Source organism: Homo sapiens, chromosome 2 (genome assembly GCF_000001405.40).
Source record: "Homo sapiens chromosome 2, GRCh38.p14 Primary Assembly".
In the NCBI taxonomy this organism is placed as follows: Eukaryota; Metazoa; Chordata; class Mammalia; order Primates; family Hominidae; genus Homo; species Homo sapiens.
In genome coordinates, this window is record NC_000002.12 from 9,976,682 (window position 1) to 10,003,500 (window position 26,819).

Below are 26,819 nucleotides of genomic sequence, written 5' to 3' on the forward strand. Positions count from 1 at the left end.
CCAGATAAAGGCCACATGAGGTCTTGGGGTGCTGGGTGATCAGACGTTTTGCAGTCATTTGAATAGAGTGGCATTTCTCAGACTCAGATCTGGGTATATTTTTAGGGGTGAAGCAACTTTTGCCTTTTAAAGAGGATGTGTGTAGTATTCACATTTGGGAAATACTGTTACAGGTGGGGTACAAAGTATGGCTGGAAAGGTGGATTGGAGTCACATAAATAGCTTGAATGCTAAGGAATGTTGTCTTTTTCACATAGACTGTGGTAAGCTACTGCAAATGTTTAGGAATACATTATTAAGATTCTGAAGTGACACTAATATTTGGCAATTGCCTAATATTAAGCAATCTGTCTCTTTTTCATTTCATTGCCTGATTTGTAGCCATTTTATTGTTTAGGGGGTCCTCTACTAGAGGTTGGAAGAAAATGTTTAATTTCTGTAACTTTATATTAGCTCTTTTTATTGTTTGTGTTTATTTGGTGGGGGCACTGTTATGTATTTATAAGTTTTATGAGGATTTGAAACTTGTTGAAATAAGATTTGGAGACAGTATGTAGATTTTGTATGCCCATCGTTTTTCTGTCTCTCATTACTAGTATTTAATTCAGTACCATTTAATAACAGATAATAATAAACACTGGAAGAAATTTTTTTTTTCAGACGAAGTCTTGCTCTGTCACTCAGGCTGGAGTGCAGTGGCATGATCTCAGCTCACTGCAACCTCCGCCTCCGGGGATCAAGCAATTCTCGTGCCTCAGCCTCCCGACTAACTGGGATTACAGGCATGCGCCACCTCACTCAGCTAAGTTTTTATATTTTTGTTAGAGACAGGGTTTCACCATGTTGGCCAGGCTGGTCTCAAATTCCTGGCCTCAAGTGATCCGCCCGCCTCGGCCTCCCAAAGTGCTGGGATTAACAGGCATGAGCCACCACATCCAGCTGGAATAAATTTTTAAAATGAACAACATCCCTGCCTTCAAGGGACCTAGGGAACTTACTAACTGCAGTGTTACAGGGACAGGAGTTAAACAGAGGTGAATGTTAAGGTTCTCACTCCGCCCTCCGTGTCCTTGATCCAGGTGATGACCTTGACCGAGGCAATGAGAGTATAGAGAAGTGGCCATTTCCCTAAAGAATCTCATAGTCTGGTGTATTAGTCCATTTTCATGCTGCTGATAAAGACATACCCGAGACTGGGTAATTTATAAATAAAAAGAGATTTAATGGACTCACAGTTCCATGTGGCTGGGGAGGCCTCAAAATCATGGCGGAAGGCGAAAGCCACGTCCTCCATGGCGGCCGGCGAGAGAGAATGAGAGCCAAGCAAAAGGGGAAACCCCTTATAAAACCATCAGATCTCATGGGACTTATTCACTACCACGAGAACAGTATGGGGGAAATCGCCCCCATGATTCAGTTATCTCCCACAGGGTCCCTCCCTCAACACGTGGGAGTTATGGGAGCTACAATTCAAGATGAGATTTGGGTGGGGACACAGCCAAACCATATCATCTGTCCTCACAGGGAGTTTGAGGGAAGGAAAAAGCTACTTAGTCCAACTTGGTAAGTGGTAAAAGGGAGCTGTACATAGAGTGCAGTGGACACAGCTGAGAGTGTGAGGGATTCCCTTTGGGCAGATGAGGGGATGGTGATGAGAAAGGGTGTATCCGTTGGTGCTGGATCTTTATCCATAAGGGAAATGTATGTCAGTAGACGATGGAGGAAAGGGTATTTTAAAATTCAGGGGCAGAGAAAATGAAGATCCCCAGAGTTTGGAAGTGCCTGTAAAGGAGATGTGAACGAGAATGGACATTTGGAGCTGGATTTTGGAAGGCCTTGAGAATTTGGATTCCTGCCTTCACACTGCAGAGAACCATTGAAGGCTATTAGTGGTTTTTCCTAGCTAGGCTCTTTCATTTTCCCAAGCACTGAGATGATGCTGCCTCGATGAGCACCTGTGACATCTCACTTGGTCTTATGAACTTACTCTATTTTAGTTTGAAAATCAGGTCTTTAAAAAGGAAACCAGCCGGGCATGGTGGCTCATGCCTGTAATCCCAGCACTTTGGGAGGCCGAGGCAGATGGATCACCTGAGGTCAGGAGTTTGAGACCAGCCTGGCCAACATGGTGACGCCCCGTCTCTACTAAAAATACAAAGATTAGCCATGTGTGGTGACGGGCACCTGTAATCCCAGCTACATGGGAGGCTGAGGCAGGAGAATCACTTCAACCCGGGAGGCGGAGGTTTCAGTGAGCTGAGATCGCGCCATTGCACTCCAGCCTAGGCAACAAGTGCAAAACTCCCTCTCAAAAAACAAAATTCAAAAATTAGCCAGATGTAGTGGTGCGCGCCTGTAATCCTAGCTACTCAGGAGGCTGAGGCACGAGAATCGCTTGAACCCGGGAGGTGGAGGTTGCAGTGAGCCGAGATCGCGCCACTGCATTCCAGCCTGGGCAAGACTCTCTCTCAAAAAAAAAAAAAAAAGGAAACCTTATCCAAACTGTCATAAAGTTGCTTCATATTAGTCTTAATGGATCTAAATGTTCAATCTTTTTTTTTTTTTTACTCTAAAGACAGGGTCTCACTCTGTTGCCCAGGCTGGAGTGCAGTGGCATGACACAGCTCACTGCAGCCTCTACCTCCTAGGCTCAAGCCATACTCCCGCCTTGGCCTCCCAAGTAGCTGGGACTACAGGTGCACACCACCATGCCCAGCTAATTTATTTTATTTTCTGTTTTAGAGACAGGGTCTCGCTATGTTGCCCAGGGTGGTCTCAAACTCCTGGACTCAAGCAATCCTCCCACATACAGGTGTGAGCCACTGCCTGGCCAGTGCTCAAATTTTGAAATTGTTTTATTCTACTCAGTTGAGCAAACTATATTATGAAAGTCTTATGGAAATTATTTTCAGCATTATAGCAGCAACGTTACAAAACCATGTAAAATTCTACCTAAATTTCTCAGTGGAAAAAAAAATTAAGACTAATATTTGGATGTTGGATTATTTTCTTATAGGTGAATGATAATACAGAATGAGTATTACTGTCATTGTGGTAATTTTTAAAGAGCAACAGCCTTTTTGCTAGTTCATGAAAAATACCCTGATATGTATTAAACATTTGCATCCCTTAGCTCCTAACTTCACCACTTGATGTTTTTGTAACTTTTGACTCATGGACTCCAAGTGCTTTGTTCATGCATTCTTTTCTGTGAATTAGGAGATTTAAAAATATTTCTATAATTTCTCTCCACAAATTAAATTCACTTGTTAAAGTTCACGTTCCTGACTACTCTCTTTAGACTAGACAGTTAGCAAGCTTTACTGGAATTGTGTCTTGGTTTGTGGTGTTGATAAAAGCTCGAAAGGAGTGGGTGTGTTGGGGGTTTTATAAAATTGATTCTCAGTTACTTTCCCTATACCTGCTGTGAAATGAACCTCTGATGGTGATCTGTGTTTTGAGCACACTGGGTTTGGTGGTTTGTTTTTTTTTTGTCTTTTTCCTCCTTGTTTTCTCTTTGAGGACTAACTTGGCAGACGCAGCCAGGTGTGAACAGCGCTTATGTGGCTGCCGCGGTGCTTCCTGGAAGAATCATTATAAATTCGTTCAAGATCTGATTTCTTGTTGGTTTCTGTGCTTGTGAGCATTTAGAATAAAAGTCTGTATCAGTTAATCCTTTGATTATGTAAATCATTTTATTTTGTTTTCCTCTCATTTTCAAACTGAGGTTTGAAAACCAAAAAAAAAAAAAGAATTAAATATTTTGAAACATTCTAAGTGCATAAATTCTTGGTCAGGAATGAGGAACTGTCCTTAGAAAAATGGGCTAGACATTTAAAAAGGAATCTTGTAGAGCACCTTGGCCTGTTCAGCAGTTTATGTTTGTGGTTAGTTTTTTTCTCTTCCAATAATTTGGGTGGGAATAGTAGTTGCTCATCTTTTGAGATTAATGTTCTAATTATTTGAATACAAATGTTTTCTCTCAAAATAATTGGGAAGGAAGTATGAAAACAGAAAAGGTCATCTTTTGAATTCTTAAAGTTTTATGTCAGAGATCTTCACATCTTTCTAGAGAAGGAAGGTTGTAAATCATTCAGCCTACTCCGATTCTGAAATGGGGCTTTTTAAGTGTGCGTGCATTCCTGTATGTTTTATAGAGGAGGAGTTGGATGTGTGCTCATTCATCTTACTTTTTACCTCTTTCCCATCCTCTGTAAAGATAGTGGAGTGTTTTCTGTAATCACAGTGATAATTTGTCTGCAGGATAGGAATGGTCCGAGCCTGGTTTTACCTGGATTTGGGTGAACAGCCCTGTGGTCTTGCTCACTCGGGGCTGCCCATTAGGTAGAATCCATGGGAAGTGTTAAAACTGAGGAACAAAGTGTGCCCATCTTGTTGCTCCCACTGGACCCAAGGGAGAGCTCTGGCTTGTGTTTCTACACTCGCCATATGTGTATGCCAGCAGCTTTTTAACATTAAACAAAACTGTTCAGTTGCAGACTAAAGAAGGCCACCCTCCTGACCATAAAGCTCCCCGGAAGCTGCACTTCTCCCTCAGAACTTACCTGGTCCCCTCCATGAGTGTGGGCTGGGCTGATAGGGACAGTGTGTTTCCACAGGCGAGTGACACATGGGCACAGCACACACTGGATGTCTTGCCAGGAAGTCGCTTATGCGGAAAGTGGAAATACTCAATTACAAACAGGGAAATACACCTCCTCCCTATTTACTCCATCGTGATGATGTAAGGATAAATTAATGTCCAAGCAACTTAGAGGATGGTTTAGATCACTGGTCAGCAGACGACAGCTCTGAGGCGCGGGCCAGCTAGGTGCCTGCTTATATAAATCAAGTTTTATCGAAACACGACCACACTCATATCCGTGGCTGCTTTTACACTATTACTGCAGAGTCGAGTAGTTGCATATGACCTACGGATGTGAAAATAATGTCGGGCCCTTTACAGAAAAATAGTCGCTTCTGATTTAGATAAGGGTATGAAAAGATATTTTATATATCTACATTTTATTTATTCTTAGCTATACTTACTTACTACCCAGTATGCATTTTCCTCCTTTTATTAAAAGCATGCAATAAGCATATGTTATGAGCCAGGCGTGAGACACAGAGATGATTAAGACAGGGTCTTCTCAAGGACATTGCCATTTAGTGAGGAAGACATCACATCATGCTTTGTCCTGTGGTTCAGAGTTACAACTTCAGCCTTCAGCTGAACACACAAGTTCATCCACAAATGCAAATCCCTATGAAATCAAACATAACATGAGTAATAAAAATAAGCGGGAGAGTTTAATGTGTGTGTACTTGTTTATTTTTGTGGTTAATATCTTAAGAACTCTTGAGTATTTGAGGATTTGCATGACCTTATTGAATAGCAGGGTTGAACAAAATGGCTTTAACCTAGATCTTTCTTTTGATTACATGAATATTCTTATTTGATAGGGCTATGCCTCTGTAAAAATTTTGTTTAATGTTAAAAACTTGCTGGCATACATATAAATACATATAAAAATATCTTAACTCTTTAAGGAAAGGAAACCATGTATTGGAACTTGCTTTAATAATCTCAGAGTTTTGGAGCCAAGGTAGACCTTTTGTGGATCACAGTGTATAAGCAGCTAGAAGACTAATCACGTTACCGCAGTGGTTTCTATCTTGGCCAATCACTCGAATTACTCGAATTTGGTAGGAAGCACCAAAAAAAACAGTCCCAGCATCTCAAACCCATTCCAGGACAATGAAATCAGAATCTCTGGGGTGTAGCCAGGACATCTGACATCCGTATGTTTTAAAGTCCTGCCAGGCGATTCTAATTCAGTCAGAGTTGTGAGGCACTGTTGTACAGACAGGATTCTGAAACTTTAGTGTGCATAGAATTAGCTGGAGAGCTTGTTAACCTCCCGCTTCACTCTCCCTGAGTTTTCGGATTCAGTGAGTCTGGGGTGGGCACCAGGATCTTCATTTCCAACAAGTTCCCTCGTGCTGATGCTCCTGGCATCACACTTTGAGAGCCATTGCCGTATGAGATTCTTAAGTTTTACATAAGTAGTTATTGTGATGACTTTAACTGGCAACTTACTTGGTATTTTTAAACTAATATGACTTATAAAAAGTTGATAGGTAAATGTATTACACAAAATTATTGTCACCAGTAAAAACAGTATGGATATAGGATTCATCCTTTGTCAATATAAGTATATAATCATAGACGTCCAGAGGTAGTCATCTAGAGATCCACGAACTCACCCTGCCCTTTGACAGGTAAGGACCCTTGCACTGGGTCGCAGTGCTTAGTTAGGGGCCAGCTCAAATGCTTTGATGTTCAGACCTAAGCGGCTGTGCATGTGGCTCCCCTTGTAGACTTTGGTTGAGGGTTAAACCCGGCACGTATGTCCCCTCCACACCAGCATATCCCCTTGATCATCTGTGTTCTTACCTGGGATCCTTTCCTAAGAGCAGGGGCATCGTGAGCACCGGCCCCATCTTCTCTTTGGCATCTTCGGCCCACTGTTCTTGTCTCTCATGTTCCTGGCCTGCAGTGCTTACGTTTCACAGCTTTGTCACCTTCTCCTGGGATGTTTGTGTATTTATCTAGGCAAGGTAGCATTTTTTTTTTAATGCTGAATTAGGACCATTGTCAACTTTCTTTAATACATTTAGAAAACTGCCAAGTTTGGGAAGAATTGATTTTTTAGAATAAGAGAGAAATGTATATCAGTAAGAGACTGCAAATCATCATGAATGCACACCAGCATGGGCAAAGCTGTGCCAAAGCTCCATGTTTGCCCCGATCCTGGGATTTGGCCCCTGCTCATTTCTTTTTTGAATAGAAACTTGAAACTGGGAAGCAAGGGGAGGTTAGGTTTCGGGTTGGATTACTGTGAAATCTTCTTGTAAAGGGAATATCACTTCCTGGAATCGTGAGGATGAAGTCGAACTTTCCCAGGCAGCTGTTTTTGAACTAGGAATTGAGCCACGTGGCCTAGAATGACAGAAAAAATTCGGATTTTCCATTGGTTGTAAATTGAAAAATATATGGTGGTTTGGTTACTTTGCTTAGTTGTTTGCATGGACTTTTTTTTTTTTTAAACCTGAATGCATTCCACAGACTCTCCTTACCTCTGATTTGTGGATTTAGAGATTGTACTTGAAGTGTTTAAAAAAAAAAATGTGGCCGGGAGTGGTGACTCACACCTGTAATCTGAGCACTTTGGGAGGCCGAGGTGGGCGGATCATGAGGTCAGGAGTTCGAGACCAGCCTGGCCAATATAGTGAAACCCTGTCTCTACTAAAAATACAAAATTAGCCAGGTGTGGTGGTGCAAGCCTGTAATCCTGGCTACCCAGGAGGCTGGGGCAGGAGAATCGCTTGAACCCGGGAGGCGGAGGTTGCAGGGTTGCTGTGAGCCGAGATTGCGCCATTGCACTCCAGCCTGGGCAACAAGAGCAAAACTTCATCTCAAAAAAAAAAAGTTACTATAGCTGCCCCCCAACCCCATTATAACTTAAATTTTTCCCCATCTGCCCTAGTTCAGCCAGTGACACCCAGTGCTGCTTGTGGTGGACCCATTCTTGGCTGTTGACCCAGGGGCTAGAAGGAATCTTCCCCTGTCAGCTCACGGGGTTGAAGGGTCTGAAATGGGCCAGTCTTAGTTTTAAAAACTGTAATTCCAATAATGTCCACTATGTGGTGCACATGCATCCGCAGTAAATTCTAAAACTAGTTGAAAGGGAGCTCAAAAACATTTTTAAAATCCACAGTGATAAAAATAGTGGGGAAATGGCACATGTTTATTTGCTGTACACTGGGTTCCTCTTAAGTAGCAGCTTCCAATGTCATATTCATAATGTGACTCAGCTTATTTTAACTTTTGAGAAAATGTGCGGGAGATAACTGATTTGGAGCCCAGGAGAGAAGGGTGTGACATCTCCTGCCTTCCATTTCGAAGGTGGGGGATCCCCCTGGATGGGTTCTCGCCGGCTTAGTGCATTGCTCAGGCACATGCTAGCAGCTGGAGTGAGTGTAGCCGGTGCTAACCTACTGCACTTGGAAGTCATCTTTAAATATTGTTCTTGTGGGCTGAGTGTGGTAGCTCCTGCCTGTAATCCCAGCACTTTGGGAGGCCAAGATGGTAGGATTGCTTGAGCTCAGGAGTTGGAGACCAGCCTGGGCAACATAGTGGAACCCTGTCTCTAAAAAAAAAAAAAATACAAAAATTACCTGGGCGTGGTGGCGCACACCTGTGATCCCAGCTAGTTGGAAGGCTGAGGTGGGAGCATGGCTTGAATCCAGAAGGCAAAGGTTGCAGTGAGCTGAGATCACACCACCACACTCCAGCCTGGGTGACAGAGCCAGACTGTCTCAAAAAAAAAAAAAAAAATTGCTCCTGTGGGAAGTGGTGGCTTGGGCACTGATAGGAAAGCAGACTTTTGAAACTGTGGGTTGAGAAGCTCAAAGTCTGGTTTAGACAGTTTCTCTGAAGTAATTTCATGATTGAATAGTAGAACTGTTGCTTAAGGAATTGGATTCTTCGTTTCTCTCATGGAAATAGACCCACCAGCATAACATCTTCCCGGGTTATTCTAGGGAGTTTTGACCACATCTGTGTGGAACTTCTTGAATGAGGAACACATTCCTGGGTGTTTAGTGATCGTTAAGTTCTCAGCCTATTAACAAACGTTACCACTTTTGTCTTAGGTTTAATCTGGGCATGTAAAGAATCCAGTTATGTTTAAATAAAAGACCCTTGCACTGATATTTCCATACCTAGAAAGGAGTATGGAAATAATTGTAAATTACAAATCATCCCTTGAACACTGGGCCCAATGTGATTTGATAACCAAAAGGTTAATAAGAACAAACTGGAAAGAAATGAGGACTGTTTAGTCTGCATGGGCAAAGATTGAGAGAGAACTTTATTGGAATCTTATAAAAATTGTGGATTAGAGGAACACTGATGTCATAAGTTCTAAAATATGAGGACACAGAGTACTACAGGTTATCCTAAGAGGTGGTGTCAACGCAAATATAGGTGGATTCCTAGGAAGTTTTTACTAAGTTACAGAACAGCTGCAGAGGGAGCTATGCTATTGGTAACTTTGGAAAATGACATCAGGAAAGCTAACCAGCCTCTTCCCCTGTCCTAGCTGATATTAAATAGGGATTCTGGAAGGGAACATAAGCAGAGGTTCAGAGCTGCCGACTCTTCCTCCTCTTTAAGGTCTGCTATTTCTATGACCAAAAGCAGTTTTAAAATAAACCCCTGATCACCTCTTTTTAAAAACCCTTTTTTAAAAAATGAGAAGCTGAGCTTCTCATTTAAAATAGACTTGAGTAATTTCAGTGATGTTAATATTTTCATGAGCTGTGCTAGGTTTGACTTGGTGCCTGTTGCTTATGGAACCTTCTCTTCCCTTGGCAGGTTTTCATCTCTGTGAACTGCTTAAGCACAGATTTCTCTTCCCAGAAGGGAGTGAAGGGGTTGCCTCTTAACATTCAAGTTGATACCTATAGTTACAACAACCGCAGCAACAAGCCTGTGCACCGGGCCTACTGCCAGATCAAGGTCTTCTGTGACAAGGTAAGATCGGCAGGGATGCTTGGAACAAGTGTTTGAGACACACTCATGGAAAAAGACCAGGGTCTCTTTAATATTTAATGTCAAAATGAGAATATAGCTGCTAATATAGAATAACTTTTAAAATTATTTTTATTTATTTATTTATTTATTGTTGAGACAGAGTCTCCCTCTGTCTCCCAGGCTGGAGTGAAGTGGTGCAATCTCGGCTCACTGCAATTCTGCCTTCTGGGTTCAAGCAATTCTTGTGCCCCAGCCTTCCCAGTAGCTGGGATTACAGGTGCACACCACCACGGCCGGCTAGTTTTTTGTATTTTTAGTAGAGACAGGGTTTCGCCATGTTCCCCAGGCTGGTCTCCAACTCCTGAGCTCAGGTAATCTGCCCACCTCAGCCTCCCACAGTGCTAGGATTACAGGTGTGAGCCACCGCGCCCAGCCTTTATCAGAGATGAGGTCTCACTCTGTCATCCAGGCTGGAATTTAGTGGTGCAATCACTGCTCACTGTAGCCTCAACCTCCTGGGCTCAAGCGATCCCCCAAACTCAGTCTCCTGAGTAGTTGGGACTACAGGCACATCCCATCACACCCAGCTAATTTTTAATTTTCTTGTGGAGATGGGGGTCCTGCCATGTTTCCCATGCTGGTCTTGAACTCCGGTCCTCAAGTGATCCTCCCATCTTGGCTTCCCAAAATGTAAAACAGCTTTTTTTTTTTTTTGAGACAGAGTCTGGTGCTGTCGCCCATGCTGGAGTGCAGTGGCGCAGTCTCGGCTCACTGCAGCCTCTGCTTCCCGGGTTCAAATGATTCTTGTGCCTCAGCCTCTCCAGTAGCTGGGATTACAGATGCACACCCACCACACCTGGCTAATTTTTGTATAGAAACAGGGTTTCGCCAGGTTGGCCAGGCTGGTCTTGAATTCCTGGCCTCATGTGATGCGCCCACTTTGGCTTCCCAAAGTGCTGGGATTACAGGTGTGAGCCACCATGCCTGGCCTAAAATAGCTTTTAATTATTGTTTTGGCCTTGCAAAGACACATTATGTAGAGATTTTTGAAATTACGTTTTAACTGATAGATTAGAAGGGTTGATAAGTACGTTTTGTTGGGCATGTCTGATAAGTAAAGGAGGTGCACACAGGACCCTCTGAGCCCAGCTGCTGGAAGTGTAGGCAGTCACCCCTGCACGGGAGCTCTTCCTTAGCTGTGTCCGAGTGGCTGAATCACAAAGTGCTGTGCCTTCACAGCCCTCTTCCCCAAAGGCCCTTCAATAAGCATGGGGAAGGAGAGGTGCGGATTCTTCTCTACAGCCACAGGGAGGCAAGAAGAAAAAGTGCAGGGCCCAGAGGGATCTCTGCATGACCTGTTTTCCCTGGTGTGGCTCTTTTTTTATCTGGAGAAGAGAGGCTTACTTTTGCCCAGTGCAGAGCCAGGGGCTGAGCTGGATTCAATGCAGGGAGAGTCTGGAAGGTGCGTCGAGTCTTGAGGGGAAAGTTTGTGCTGGCTCGAAACTGGGGAGCAACCGTGGATGAGTGGACATTCCATTGAACTAAGACAGCAAGATCTTGAGTTTTTCCTACTCAAAAATATTGGACCTATTTTTGGCAGGGGACGGGGGCAGTTCTTTTCATCCTATTAAGGGAGCTTGTCTTTTATTGAGATTTTTAGAGGGGCTAGGTAACTGGAAGTATGTTTGCTGTCAGAGGCCTGGTCTGTCACCCTGGCTTTTGCATCAGGTACACAAAGCACAGTGGCTGAGCACAGTGAATGAGCCTGAGGCCTTTTTTGGATTTTTTGGATGATGTTTACTCTTTGTGTGGCATTTTGGTGATTTTCACCTTCCTGGGTGCTCGACATTTTTGTATTATTGTGAATCTCCTTGAATTTTGTCCTGAAATCTGGTTAAGTTGCTCGGAAACCATCTGCTCGTTAAGATCTTATGTCTATGATTTGCTAGGCGGATCTGGAGCTGTGCTCAGTGTAAGGCTAATCATCCCGCGCTCCTGAGCAGGATTTTTCTGAATATTCTACCAAGTGCCCTGCTCATTACAAGTTTTCTCACATTACTTCCTTGTAATAATCCTCATGACAGGGATTTCCAGTCCATCCCATATGGTGGGAACAGGTACTGTTTCTGGCTCTGTGTGAGTTTCGGGCACTGTTTCTCTAATCTTTTCGGATGTCAGTTCCCAACCCTGACCCCCAGCCTTGGGCAGCTTCCTGGTACCTGTGTACCTGTTGGTACCCGGCCACGTACTGGAGTGGGGCTCACTGAAGATCTCGGAGCTCTTTCCTCTTTGGTACTTTGTCCTGCTGCCTTGGTCTCTGTGGACTTCCAGCTCTGTCTCCTCAAACCTGGGCACCTGGACTGAGAATACATGAGAATTCCCATGCCATGGCCTGGGAACTCTGAAGGCAGCAGCCAGCATGGTTTGAGGACTTGCCGCGGGTTCCTGTCTCCCAGGGATCACTGTTCTTTAGTTGCCTGCTGGTCAGGGCCTTCTCGTTCTTGTTTCTGCATTTCGTCTGGTTTTTGTTGTTGTTTCAGGGTGGAGGGTAAATCTGATCTGTGTTACTCCATGTTATGTAGAAACAGAAATACCTTATTCTTTATAGATACACAGATAAATAAGGAGGGACAGTCCTATTTTGTAATAGGACTGCACCCTCCACCTTTTGGAGGAGGGTGGTGTTTATCATCAGAATGAAGTTATGGTTAGACTTGTTAGAAGGGACAGAGAGACCCAGACCAACTTCATACAATAATGGCTAGGAGATTGGGGATATTTACCTGTTTTTCTGTGTCAGGGAGGGACTGTTGTGTCAATGTTACATAGCAATTTTTATAAGCAGGTTGTATATTTACTATGTTAGTATGCTACCACCTTCTAGAAAAGGCAGAAGGTGGTTTTATATTCTGTTTTTAAAATGTGGTCCTTATTATATAATAATGCTAATAAGATCAGTGGGATTTTTATTGCCTCTTTTTGCTCTCAGCAAATTTATTTAACAGAAAAATAAGCTACCAGTTCATCCTTAACTGGAGCACTATGTAAAGAAATCTGTACCATCCAGAAATTAATTCCAATAAGTCAAGCAAAATGATTAAATGTAATGTTTTTAAATATGCTTCATTGCCTGATTTTGGGCCGTGTTTGTTACTAATATGGTTCTTTTGAACTTTGTTGTTGTGGGTTCAGCTGCATGGTACTATCGGTCTTTGAGCAGTTGATATACAGAGTACACGAGTGTCTTTTTCTAGGACTCTGAGTACACTTTTTCTCTTTTTTCTTTGAGGGAGTCTCACTCTGTCACCCAGACTGGAGTACAGTGGTGCGATCCCAGCTCACCGCAATCTCTACCTCCCAGGTTCAACTGATTCTCCTGCCTCAGCCTCCCGAGTAGCTGGGATTACAGGCATGCATCACCACGCCCGGCTAAATTTTTTGTATTTTTAATGGAGACAGGGTTTCCCATGTTGGCCAGGCTGGTCGTGAACTCCTGGCCTCAAGGGATCCACCCACCTCGGCCTCCCAAAATGCTGGGATTACAAGCGTGAGCCACCGCGCCCAGCCCACTTGTTCTCTTTTAAGTGATGATGCATATTTCTAGTTCCATCTTCACTTTGTGAATTCTGCTTGGTTAGATCTGCCACATGGTTGATACCAGGCCCTTGGACTGAATCACAGCCTTCAGTGATAACCTTGGCCATATAGGAGAGTATACTCAAGAGTAGGGCCAACTTGGGTTTTTTCTTTCATTTCCTTTTCCTACTGGACAAAGGGAAAATACCCTTGTGTCTTTGCAGGCATGTGGTATACTCACAGATTTTCTCAGCTTTCATTTAACACGACCACATCCATTATAAGGAGAAATTTTGCTTTTTTTTTTTGAGACAGAGTTTCGCTTTGTCACCCAGGCTGGAGTGCAGTGGTGTGATCTCAGCTCACTGCAACCTCCACCTCTCAGGGGTTCAAGCAGTTCTCCTGCCTCAGCCTCCCAAGTAGCTGGGACTACAGGTGCCCGCTACCACGCCTGGCTAATTTTTGTATTTTTAGTAGAGGTGGGGTTTCACCATGTTGGCCAGGCTGGTCTCGAACTCCTGACCTCAAATGATCCACCCACCTCGGCCTCCCAAAGTGCTGGGATTACAGGCATGAGCTACCGCTTCCGGCCGGAATTTTGCTTTATTTGTTTTTCAAATAAATGTTGTTCCCTGTGATTTCATAGAATTAAAAATAATTTTAAGACTAATCTTTTTAGAAGAAACTACTATGATAAGCCTCATGAATATAGTAAGTAATGGGGTTCCTGTCCAGAGAAGGGAGAAAGGCTTCTTCTTCCATTGGTCAGGATAAGAGTTAAATATTTTAAAGAAGATTGGAAAACAGAATCATATCTTGTCTTCTCTTAACCTACAGGGAGCTGAGCGGAAAATCAGGGATGAAGAACGAAAGCAAAGCAAAAGAAAAGGCAAGTGTCCTGACCCCAGCTCCCAGGTGAATGCCTGTAAGTAGAAATGTTCCCGGCAAGCTTCAGACCTTTTCCATTGAGAATGGTGGCTGGAGTTTGCACGCAGAAGACAGTGGGTGTTCTTCCTGTTCTGCAGTGTGGCACTGCCTCTTCCTCAGATCAGCAGCAGATGCCAGCTCAGCGGGAGGGGTTTTCCTGGGGACTACAGGATAGATCCCTGGGTTTTCCCGACCTCAGCGTTTTTGGCTCTCAGTTCTAGTTCAGACTTCTGTTTCCAGTCTTGAAAAATGACAACACGTTCTGCATGAATCACTGTTAAAATTGGGACTTATCTAGATTTTTTAAAGTAATAATAATGGTCTTGAGAATTCAAGATGTCTTAACTCCAAGTAAGATCATATTTTGTATCTAAAGTATAGTATTTTAATATTTGCAGAATCTATAGGGCTTCTGTTTGGACATTTCACCAGGAAGGCTTTGTTTTCTTTTTTTTTTAATTGTGACCAGTATTCATATTCACAAAATCTTGTATCTAAAATGAAGAAAGTGCTGTTCTGTGCCTGTAGGGTTCCATCTGTAGTACATGGGCTTCTGGCAGCTCTTTTGAATGGTCTGTCTGGCTCAGCAGACATTTGCCCTGCAACACCTTAGTCAGGATTCTCCTACTGGTATCAAAGTACAAACTCCCAGTGACACTTCAGAGAGCAGCTGACTAACTAGGAGACCTCATTACTGAGTACTTCAGGGCCAGCCAGATCATTGGGGAAGATGGAGTCTCTAACTTACTAAATTAAAAATTGGATGGGCATGCTTACACTTCACCTCATTGTCGAGTTTCTTGATATGTTCTGAAGTCAATGGGTCCATGAGTGTTGGAATGTAAATTATTTAATGAGGACAGCTGAGGTGAAATTTCTTCCAAATTATGTTTACACAATTATACATTTTAGCCTTTCCAATGAAAACTAAATACGCTCTGCCTCTGTCGCAAATCTTCTGTGGATATGCGTCTGTGTGTGTTTGAAGATACCTTTTCCCTTTTGATTTGATAAGACATTCAGTTGATTTTAGTGGAAATACACACAACAAATTCCTTTACATAAACTGGGATTCTTAGGCAGGCAGCGTGCCCTGTTGTATCTTACAGAGTGCTACACTTGGAGTATCTTACTCAGAGGCGAGCACTCTGTGGCCTGCATCCAGTCTGTATGTAATCCTTTGACCTTGGCTTCCTCTTTTTTAATTTTTTTTTTTTTCAGTTTCTGATGTTAAAGTGCCACTGCTTCCCTCTCACAAGCGAATGGATATCACAGTTTTCAAACCCTTCATTGATCTCGATACTCAGCCTGTCCTCTTCATTCCTGACGTGCACTTTGCCAACTTGCAGCGGGGCACTCATGTAGGTAACCAGGATCCCAGGGGAGGTTACCAGGAAGGAAGGCATGGCAAAAGGAAATTCTTTGGCATTATTCATGGGAAACAGAAGCCAAAATTGAGTGAGGTTTGACCAGTTAGTCAGCTCTTTGGAATATTCTGCTGGGGTGACATGATGCCCGTGCAATAAAAATGGTAAGCATCGCTGATTTCAAGGTGCAGTGCAGCCTGTCAGCTTTATTCTGTTTGTATTCATTCATTCATTCGTTCGTTCTTCATACCTACATATCCTAGCTCATTTAAAAGATTCTAGAATAGTAGCATAATTTGGAGTTTGAGCCTGTCATCTTTTTAAACTTAACTTGGGGCAATACCTAGGTTAAGGAGCTCTTATAACATAAGAACATCCGAAGGCTTTTCTCACAGTTCCAGTTACTGAGCCGTCCTTGCCACGTGTAGTTACCAATGGCCATGTCTTGGCAACTAAAACTAAATTTTAAAAAATGGTCACGCCCTGTTTTGTGGCAAAGGCTTACAAGGGATAGAAACTTCAGTAGAATGAAGCATGGTTTTATGCTGAGTGCAAATAAATATCAAAAAGACAGTCTTTCATGCACTTTGTGGACAGATTTATAAGGACTAAAGATTCGTCAGAGTTCTTGGGGCCATGGCCAGTACATTTAGTTTCTAATGGGAAGCTGGAGGTGAGCAGGGGTTAGCACACTGTTTTTGTGAAGGGCTGGGCCGTAAAGGTTTTCAGCTTTTGGGGCCCCGTGGTCTCCACTGTGCTGCTCAGTGCTGCCGAACTAGTGCACACATGGCCATAAGCAGCATGTGAATGAATGAGCGTGGCTTTGTTTCAGTAAAGACTTTATTTACATGAACTGGCTTTAGACCAGATTTGGCCCAACCACTGAGTTAAAGGAGTTCAAGACATCTGTAAGAATCTGTTATTGAAAACTAAGGCTAAAGGATTTTATATTAGATTGGTGAAATTCAAAATTATTTCCATTTTAGGAATAATTCATTTATGGCCAAACATTTTGAGCATACATTTGAAAAGCAATCTATTCCTTTGGTCTTAGGTCCTTCCCATTGCCTCTGAAGAATTGGAGGGTGAAGGGTAAGATTTATGTTTTGTTTTGTTTTGTTTTAATAATGGAAATGATTTCAAACTTGTAGAAAAACTGCAAGTACAGTACAAAGAACTCATTTTTCCCTGAGCCATCAAGGATAAGTTGCCAGCCTGATGGCCCATCACTCCTGAATATCGTGGTATATATTTCCTACCAACAAGGACATCCTCCTGTGTCACAGTCAAGATTAGAATATTAACATTGCTTCATTAGCACCAATAATGTCCTTTATAGCAAAAAAGGATCCAGTTCAGGATCACACATTGTAGTTGTTTGTCATGTTTGTTGATCTTCTTCAGTCTAGAACTAAGCCACTCCTTAACTTTTCTGACCAAATATTTTTGAAGATTACAACCAGCTGTTTTGTAGACTCTTCTTAGTTTGCGTGTGTCTGCTGCTCTCTCATGGTTAGATTCCAGGCCTGGCAGGGATGTCATAGAGGCCAGGCTGGGTTCTCCGTGTGTCCTAGCAGATGGCGCTTGATGTCAGTTTATCTGTTACTAATGGTGTTCTTTGGTCACTTGATTAAGCTGGTATCTGCCAGCTTCTCCACTGCAAAGTGGCTCCTTTTATAGTAAGTGTTGTCTGGGGAGGTGCATTGTAGCTTTGTAAATATCTCATTCCCCATCAAACTTTCAGTTTACTCGTTCATTTATTGCTATCAGTATGAACTCATAGTTTCCTGTTTTATTCAATAAGCTGTGATTCATTAGTCATTTACTTTGATGCTCAGGTTGTCCCAGAATTGGGCTCTGCCTTCCTGTGCCGGGCAGCCCCCTACTCATGCTGCCTAGTGGAGGGGGGCTGACGCTACCCCTCTTTGGGCTATCAGAACCTTCTTGATGGCTCTGGGACTTTTTCAACAAGGCAAAGATTCTTTTTGTTTTTATTTCATTTTACTTTTAGAGACAGGGTCTTGCTCTGAGGCCCATGTAGGAGTGCAGGGGTGCAGTCACAGCTCACTGCAGCCTTGAGCTTCTGGGCTTAAGTGATCCTCCTGCCTCAGACTCCTGAGTAGGTGGGACTACAGGCACATGCCACCACACCCATCTAATTATTATTATTATTATTATTATTATTATTATTATTATTATTGTAGAGATCCTGGTCTCAGGCAATCCTCCCGCCTCAGCCTCCCTCTTTCTGTTATCTGCCCTCAGAAAGGTGCATCCTGATGGAGAGAGCCAAGATTTCCATGGGAAGTTCATTCCTCAGCATCCCTCTTCCCTCATCTTCCATCCATTCCCAGGGCTTAAACCGTCATACTGGGGACATTCATGCCCCACACGTTACCCATCGTGCCTCTCTTTGAAGGCGAGGCCTGCACTGCCCCTTTGATTCTTAGTGTTTCAGGCTTGAGTCCTGCCGGCACTTTCACTAGACGGCTGCTGTGTGTTAGGAACTGAGGTGGCAGAGTCTCGGAGGCTCAGCCCCTGCTCCTGAAGTGGCCATTCTGCTCCAAATCCAGCACTCCCTCCCTTCACTTTCAGTTATCTACCTCTTCTCTTGCTTGCCGTGACACCACCTGCTGGACCCTCCATGCCAGGTGCCCCTGGTAGCCAGGCGTTCGTTCGATCTGAGTTTTTCTCTCCTCAGACTCTCCTTGGTCTGTTCTCACCTTTTGGCTTCCATGATACCACCATATTTTAAACCTGTGGAATCCTGTGCTCGGATTATACCAGCCTCCTTCCCCTGGTTTTTCTGCTTGAAGGTCCTGGGGTCCCCTCCAGTCTTGACCACACACTTTGGGTACCAACACACTTTGGGTACCACACTCAGTCTCACAGACCTTTCAACTATTCCCTCTTCTCTGCCATGTAAAATTTAATTCCTTAGAGCTGAATGATCAGGACATTCACGGTAGAGTCGGCTTCCCGAAATTTCTAGATATGGCTTCCTGTGGGCCATTCTGTTTGAGCCAGGCTGGCCCTGCATTTTCCTGCTCACACTTCCTCAGTGTTTTGAAACATCATCTCCTTTGTCACTGCCTGTACAAGGTTATCTCAGATCCTGCCTCCTCCATAGAGTGTTTCCTGAAAAGAAGCACCAGACAGCCAGGCGTGGTGGATCATGCCTATAATTCCAGCACTTTGGGAGGCCAAGGTAGGAAGATCGCTTGAGCCCAGGAATTTGAGAACATCCTGGGCAACATAGGGAGAACCCATCTCTACAAAAATAAAAAAATTAGTTGGGTGTGGTGGTGTGCGCCACTTGGGAGGCTGAGGTGGAAGGATTGCTTGGGCCTGGGCGGTTGAGGCTGCAGTGAGCCGTGATCCATGATTGCACCACTGCACTCCAGCCTGAGCAACAGAATGAGACCCTGTCTCACAAAAAAAAAAAAAAACCAAAGCGCCTCATCTTCGAGAAGGCAGCTTTATCTGATGAGAGTGCAGATACCTGCAGGGAACCTGAGTGTGGTCCCATGTCTGCCTGTAAATATCCATGAGCCCTGGAGTCAGGATCTTCCTTTAGCCTGATTTTTCATCCACAAATAAGGAAGCTGGACCAGATAAAGAATGAAAGTCATTTTAAATCTAGTTCCATGACAGGCTCTAAAACACCTTAATGTTGATGCAGCTGGTTAAGTTGAATCACTAACGGCATATTTTGGATCACTGCAGCTCTGTCTTGAAAAGGGGGCCGTACGGCACAGAAGATGACTTTGCTGTCCCTCCTTCTACCAAGCTGGCCCGGATAGAAGAACCAAAGAGAGGTGTGTTCGTTTCCATTTCTTAGTGGGAGTTTTAAATCAGAAGTGAGTTCAGAATCTATCAAAAGCATAAATGGTTCAAGCACATTTTTCCCAGTTTCACTTGCTTGGGAATTCTTCCATCAGACTGACATCTAGCTTGAGCTAGGACTTAGAGCAAAGTTCAGAGAAGCTGAAACCTGTGTTCCTTAAGACAGAATTGATATTGGCTGATGCTTGTCATCCTTGATGTGAATGTGGTTTTTATTTTAGCTGGTACCGTGGTCTGTTTTCCTCTTTTGCTCATGTGAACTGTATCCTTTTTTTCCTCTCTTTTCCCTTCCTTATTCCTGGTTGGGGATTGATTAGTGCTGCTCTACGTTCGAAAGGAGTCAGAAGAAGTCTTTGATGCCCTGATGCTCAAAACCCCATCTTTGAAGGGCTTGATGGAAGCTGTAAGTAGGATCAACTCTGTAATCCCCTGTACAAAATGAAAGGACAAGTACATAGGATTTCATTGAAACACTTTATCAGATGATCCAAATCCTTTGTCAGACCTTCTGGAATCCCTGACACCTTTCTCGAGTCGTCGTGCGTCCCACATTTTATCCTCACCCAGGGGTCTTAACTCACACAGTCACTCAGTCACACCTGTTCCACTGAAGTGAATGCATCTGTGATGGCCTATGAAATGTTTAATTTTTATATACGTGGTTAAAGGGAGATTGCCATTTAGCAAGCCACTTAGAAGCTAACAAAAGTGATTTTTAATCAAGTACAATCTTAAAAACTTCATACATAAAAACAGTGGCTCCTCAGTCTACCTTTAAAACTCCCAATCCTAGGAAATTACTGAACTTGCATCAAGACCTCACTACAGCCTATTGCAGAGAAAGTAGACGTGTAACCAGTGATGGCCGTAAGTCCATCTTACGAGGATCTCAGCACGAGGCTGGAATAAACTGACCCCATGCTCCCTGTGGGGATATCAGTAAGAGAGGAAACATGGAAGGCTGCTGTGTTAATTTCCCGTTCCAGCTGTGCACTGGAAAAACGCATGTCATCAGCACTGAGTGCAGATATTTACCAGCCTGTCTCCTAGAGACCGTAGAGATCTTTAAGCTCAAAGTGTGTCCATAATTGGGCTAAAAGCATCTCCCCCAGCTCCCTCTGATGACTGTAGTGTGTTGAATTCATTTAACACATCTTGATAAAGGGCTTGCTTCATGCCAGGCACTGTGGCGGGCACTGGAGTTATGCGCGTCAGTGACACAGTGCTGAATGGAGTTTATTTTGTAGTTAGGAAGACACAGACACCAAAATAAGCAAAGAAGTTGAGGTCATTTTTCAGGTACTGATGAGTGCCATGAAGATTAATAAAGCAGGGAGATGGGGCGTGGGTTTGGGGAGCTGCTGTGCGGTCTCTCAGCCAGGCGCCCCAAGTCCACGGGTGTCACTCAGTGCATCCCTGCCTGCCCACAGCACAGGCAGCGCCGTTCCCACTGTCACTTCCTGCCTCCTAGGATGTCCCCTGGGTTTCTCTTTTCTTGCCTTTTGATGACCCTTCATCATGTCTTAAGAATCATGCAAACTGGCCAGGTGCGGTGGCTCACACCTGTAATCCCAGCACTTTGGGAGGCAGAGGCAGGAGGATCACCTGAGGTCAGGAGTTCGAGACCAGCCTGGCCAACATGGAGAAACCCTGTCTCTACTAAAAATACAAAAAATTAGCCAGGCTTGGTGGCAGGCGCCTGTAATCCCAGCTACTCGGGAGGCTGAGGCAGGAGAATCACTTGAACCAGGGAGGTGGAGGTTGTAGTGAGCTGAGATCCCGCCACTGTACTCCAGCCTGGCATAGCAAGACTCCGTCTCAAAAAAAAAAAAACAACAAAAAACAAACAAACAAAAAACATGCAAATTCTGATTACAGGGAAAGAGGAGAGTAAAGAGGATGCAGAATTACTGGGCCAGCATAACTGTTCATGGCTCACGAGGAACTCATGACAGGTCTTACATGTCAGAACACAAAGTATTATCATCCACTCGTACAGAAAAGAAAAAGGGTTTGTGTGGTGAGAACTTGGAGCTGGGGTCTGGTCTGAAACACGTGTTTGGAAGGTTGGCAGGATCTGCACGTTTGCCACCTGAGGCTCTGTTTCTCAGTGCCACCTTGAGCTTTGCTCTGTGGCTTGAGGTGAAGCTGGTGATGCCAGCCTGAGGATGGTCTGGATGACAAGTGTAACGTTTGATCTAGAGTGAATCAGCTGTTTGTCCTTGGAGCAATTCACCCATTCTCTTTAAAAATATTAAAAATAGCCTCTATGTCCCGAAAGGAAGACAGCCACAGCTCCCCAGAAGCTCATTACAGTGAGGGGCAGCCGGGCTGAGGAGAGCTGGAGGCCCCCAGCACACGAGCTGGGGCTTTTCCATGTCTTTGTGTCTGCGTTTTTGAAAAACAAAAAGTCGAGTGACTATGCATGTGTGTGTGTGTGTGTGTGTGTGTATATATATACATATATATACGTATATATATACATATATATACGTATATATACATATATATACGTATATATATACATATATATACGTATATATACATATGTATATATGTGTGTACATGTATATATATACATATGTACATATATATGTACACATATATATATACATATATATGTACACATATACATATATATGTACACATATACATATACATATATATGTACACATATATATACATATATATGTACACACATATATATACATATATATGTACACACATATATACGTATATATGTACACACATATATACGTATATATATGTACACACATATATACGTATATATATGTACACACATATATATACGTATATATATGTACACATATATATATACGTATATATATGTACACATATATATACGTATATATATGTACACATATATATACATATATATATATTTGTTGTTTGGTTTCTAAAGCCTTGATACAGGGTTTTGTAATTATTTTTCTTTCCTCTTTTAGATCTCAGACAAATACGATGTTCCCCATGACAAGATTGGGAAAATATTCAAGAAGTGTAAAAAGGGGTAAGCAGCCACTGCGTCCTGTGTACCTCGGAAAGTGCTGATGCCCCCCGCAGTGCTAGTGTGACGCACCCCCCAGTGCTGTTGACACCCCCCAGCACCATGTAACACACCGTGCATGCTAGTGACACCCTCCTGTGCCAGTGACACACACCCTGTGCCAGTGTGACACGTGTGCATCGTGCCCAGTCCAGAAGCAGCCAAAGAAACCTGGGTGCTGGAATGTGGCTTTTCTAAATTATATACGAAATTACTTAGATAAAATTGATCTGCCTTGAGGAGATCTTTGTGTATTGTTTCTCCAAGTCACCTTCTTTGCCCTCCACATGCCTGGCAGCAGTGCCATGGCTCCACACTCCAGGGTGTGTGGCCAGCGCCACTGAGGATGGCCAGGGCAGCACCTCCGTGTGTCGAGCCCGTTGGAGCCGGGCACTGGGTTGGGCACGTCCCACGGTGCTGCGCTTGGTCTTCACGTCTTCTTTCTGAGCTGGTCTCAGGGCTTGTTTATATTTATAGACAGGCGGCTGAGGCTCAGAGTTCAAGAGGCTTTTCGGGGCCATGGTTGGTATTCCCTGCCTCTGCAGCCCATGCCCTGCTCTACCCTCCTGCTCAGGATCCTATTTCCAAGTTATGTCACGTTGCTGCTTTGTCTAGAAATTAGTATTTTTAGTTCTTTTTTGTCTGTCTATGATGTTTGGCATGGATAAGCAGTGGCTAGCATAAGAATTTTTTGGCTTAGTTTTAAAACAAATTCTAATGGGAAATTTCTAGATGGTTCTAGTGGAAAGAGTTGGACTTAATAGTAGTTAATTTATTTTTGTTTATTTTCTTGTTTTTGTATTCTTTATTTTTTGTTTGATAATAGTAGTTCATTTAAACTTTGAGGCTCACTTGCTGGAGTGTGTAATTTGTCAGGGGGCTGTGACTTCACATCATGTAAGTTAGTGTTATTGATGTGCTTTTGCTTTATTCATTTAGAGATGGTTTCACTCTATCGCCCAGGCTGGAGTACAGTGGTGCAATCAGAGCTCACTGTAGCCTTGAACTCCTGGGCTCAGGCCATCCTTTCACCTCAGCTTCCCAAGTAGCAGGGACTACAGGCATGTACCACCATGTCCAGCTAGTTTTTAAAATTTTTCTGTAGAAATGGGATCTTGCTATGTTATCCAGGCTGGTCTCAAACTCTTGGGCTCAAGTGATTCTCCTGCCTCAGCGTCCCAAAGTGCTGGCATCACAGGTATGAGCCAAGTACCATTTACCAAGTGACAACTATGAAATACATGCTGGAAATAATAATCATAAATAAGCCAGTATATTTCATTTTCCAAATGCTATGATATAAATATATCACCTGATTTCCTCCTAACTCAATTCTCTCAGCAATCCTATAAGATGGGTACTATTATTATCCCCATTTTATAGATGAGGAAGTTGAGGCTTAAGGAGATTTAAATAATTTGCCTCACATGCTGCAACTAGTAAGTGGGAGAGCTAACAGGTCAATCTAGGTCTGACTCCAGGACCAAGTGGCAGTGAAGTTGGTTGGTCTTGTCCCCCCCCATCCAGGATCCTGGTGAACATGGACGACAACATTGTGAAGCATTACTCCAATGAGGACACCTTCCAGCTGCAGATTGAAGAAGCCGGGGGGTCTTACAAGCTCACCCTGACGGAGATCTAAAGGCCTGCGGGCCACAGCTCCCCAGGAGTTCAGTGCAGGTGTTTCTAGATCTTACGGTTTGGCAACTGCAGGTAACCCCAGTCAGCCATGTCGCCAGCACAGGTCTATGTCGAGGGAATGGGTTCCTTGCAGGTTGGAGGCGGGGCTGCATCTGGCTTGGTGGTAGCATTTAATCTATTGCATTGGTGTTTTTCAGATGAAAGAGAAATCCATATACCATTATGTTTGAATTTCCTGATATATACAGGATTTAAAGTGAAAACTTTATTCCAAGAGTTAACAGAGTCTCTGGGAAGCTTTAGGACATCTGCTACGTTATTTATCAAAATATTGGGATCTCTGCCTTGTGCCTACAGTGTCGTGGGCCTGCTCGCTAGCAGAAGTCAGAAAAGGCGATAGGCTTGGCTTTAAGGATTTCGTGCCCTTGCCTGAATTCAGTACAACTCCACTGCCTCACGTTAGCGGGAGCGCACCTGAAGAGTACGGGGGGAGCCCTCTCTCCCTTACCCTCTCACTCTCCACCAGATGTTTACTAAACAGGGCATGTTACTGAAATCTTCCTTTGCGACTTTCTCGGACATATCAACTGCCTTTCTCATGAAGAATTTTAATGGGTTACAGTATGAAATCAGTTAAGATAAAGCTGCATTGTATATAAGTGCAATATATTTTTGAAGGTCTGTAAATGTGTACATACATGTCTTATATAAATATATAATATATAAATATGGTGTCTGTGTACATATAGTGAAGATATGCAGTAAGAGCTACCTTAAAGACTTTCCCTAGACAAAGGTTAAGTTATTTTTTGATCGTGTATACCAAGCAGATAGAATACTGTGCTTAGTGGAACCCGCTAAAAACCTTTTTCTCTGTTTTTCCAAACACAGGCATTCTGTAGCATAGCAAAACCTTCTCAAATGACAGAGATTCTGTTTGCTGTTGAGAATGTTGTTATTTGGATTTCTGCACTGTTTAACAAATGAAGTAAAAGAAAAACACTACTGCAATCACGTCTTTTGTTATGCTAGTATCAGTCAGATGCACTTAGAGTGAAGAAACACTGTAATTACAGCACACAGATTGCAAGTATTGCGTACCAAGTGATACAACTCGAAATGCAGTTCTCATCTTCCTGTTTTGAGAAATGATTATTTTATCACGCATCAGAGCCTTCGTGCTTTGATTATCTTGTATGTTAACAATTCTAGAAAACATTCATGAATTCACAAAAATATGTTACTATGGCAGGGGAACATTTTGTACACATTTAAGTATATAAAAATACTAAAATATGTAATTTTATAACAAAGTCACGGGTATCTTTAGGTTCAGGGAACTAGACTAGGTCATTCGTGTAAATGGACTGGTAGTTACAGTCTTAGGTTAAAGTATTCTAATGAAGTATGGGAACTAAATTGCTGGTTTTCTAAGATAAGATATGGGATATGGGTCATATAACTTTTGTATTTTTTATGAAGTTGATTTTGTCTTGCGTGTTATTTTTAATTGTATCATTGAAGATGTATTTTAAACCAAAGGAATTAAATTTTATATGTCTATTTCGTAATATGTCATTTCCTGTTTTTCAATTTGACTTTGCACTGCTCAGTAAAACGTGAGAGCTGAAAAGCATCTCATTGCTAGCACTTTCTGCTTATTTCTTAATGTGTGCGCTTAGGTTGTTTTCTTCATGTTAACTTTTCCTTACTGATGCCTGAAATGATCCACGTAATTGTTAAGTCAGGGATCCCTGAATGATTTTCCAATTCTTACCAAAATTTAACCACTAAAGCTGAAGGTAAATGCTTTCATACCTAAAATCTTAGTATTCTTAGTGTTTAAAAGCCTAACAGAAAATACTTAGTTTAAAAATTTACCAATATTTAAATCATTAGAATCTCTAAAACAGGCGTCCTGAACATATTCCAGGGTAATCCAGGGCCTAAATATGATAGACACTAGGATATATTTTTAATGGATACAAGATCAGATTAATGACGTAAACTCCCTGATAGGGCTCCTGGGACATCTGCACTTTTCACAGTAACCCTCGGGCCAAAGTGGAGACTCTCCTGCAGCCTGGGTTCCCGTTCACTCAGTGCTTCCAGAGTCCAGCTCCACACAGGAAGCCTGGGGACCCTGCCAGCGCATCCTTTCTATGGGAGCCCTTCCTCACACCATGGGTCTCCTTCACCCCCTGGCTTCCCGGGACTTACCTTTGCCTCAAAACTCATCTCTTCCCGGGCGTCCCCAGGGCCATTACCTCTGGTTCCTCAGCCCAGCACCCACTCCCTGCTCTCACGGCTCCAAGTACTGACAGACACCTGCTGGCCCTCTTCTCAGCCTCTCGTTTCCTGGAGAGCAGGTTTTGGTGTCTTAGCTTTGGATCTCTGGCACCCAACCCAATGCTGGTTACATAGTTGATGCTCAGTGAATGATTCTGTAATGATAAAGCGACTAGTTTATCCTAGGAACTGCCTTCAAGTAACACAGTCACTTGCAAAACATCAGCAGGGAGCGTTTTTAGACATTACAGGCCCAGAAATCAGTCGGGGCTGGACTCGGACCAGTAGGCCACAGAGCAGGACCAGTAGGTGGAATTATCTGGGACTCAGGTGTGTGCCACTGTGCCTGGATTTCTGGCCTGGATCTTTGCAGTAACCCAACTGGACTCATCGTTTCCATCCCTGGGCCCCTTCGTTTTATTCCTAATCTAGGAGCCATGATGATTCTTCTAAAATATAAATTAGGACTCTGCTCAGAACCCTGCAGTAGCTCTCCGCTTCACTC

General features: G+C 43.2%; 1 protein-coding gene and 1 long non-coding RNA gene across 9 annotated transcripts in view; one reads left to right on the top strand and one right to left on the bottom strand.

The window, feature by feature from the left end:
- Positions 1-25,596, top strand: part of GRHL1 (grainyhead like transcription factor 1) — a 50,585-nt gene extending 24,989 nt beyond the window's left edge. For 4 of the 8 annotated variants that reach the window (XM_006711882.4, XM_011510343.3, XM_047444018.1 and 1 more), the window contains 8 exons: positions 9,443-9,601; positions 14,015-14,102; positions 15,326-15,465; positions 16,526-16,563; positions 19,198-19,289; positions 19,635-19,720; positions 22,284-22,348; positions 23,912-25,596. In XM_006711882.4, coding sequence (XP_006711945.1) covers positions 9,443-9,601; positions 14,015-14,102; positions 15,326-15,465; positions 16,526-16,563; positions 19,198-19,289; positions 19,635-19,720; positions 22,284-22,348; positions 23,912-24,026 — 783 coding nt within the window. In that variant the 3' untranslated portion in view covers positions 24,027-25,596. Of the gene's footprint in view, positions 1-9,442; positions 9,602-14,014; positions 14,103-15,325; positions 15,636-16,525; positions 16,564-19,197; positions 19,290-19,634; positions 19,721-22,283; positions 22,349-23,911 lie in introns of those variants that run through there. The other 4 variants (NM_198182.3, XM_047444017.1, XM_047444019.1 and 1 more) reach the window with 2 other exon arrangements.
- LOC124905970 (uncharacterized) lies at positions 16,294-26,819 on the bottom strand. The gene is made up of 2 exons (XR_007086207.1): positions 26,246-26,819; positions 16,294-19,746 (listed from the first exon to the last, which is right to left on the bottom strand). It is a non-coding gene; the product is annotated as an uncharacterized LOC124905970 (long non-coding RNA).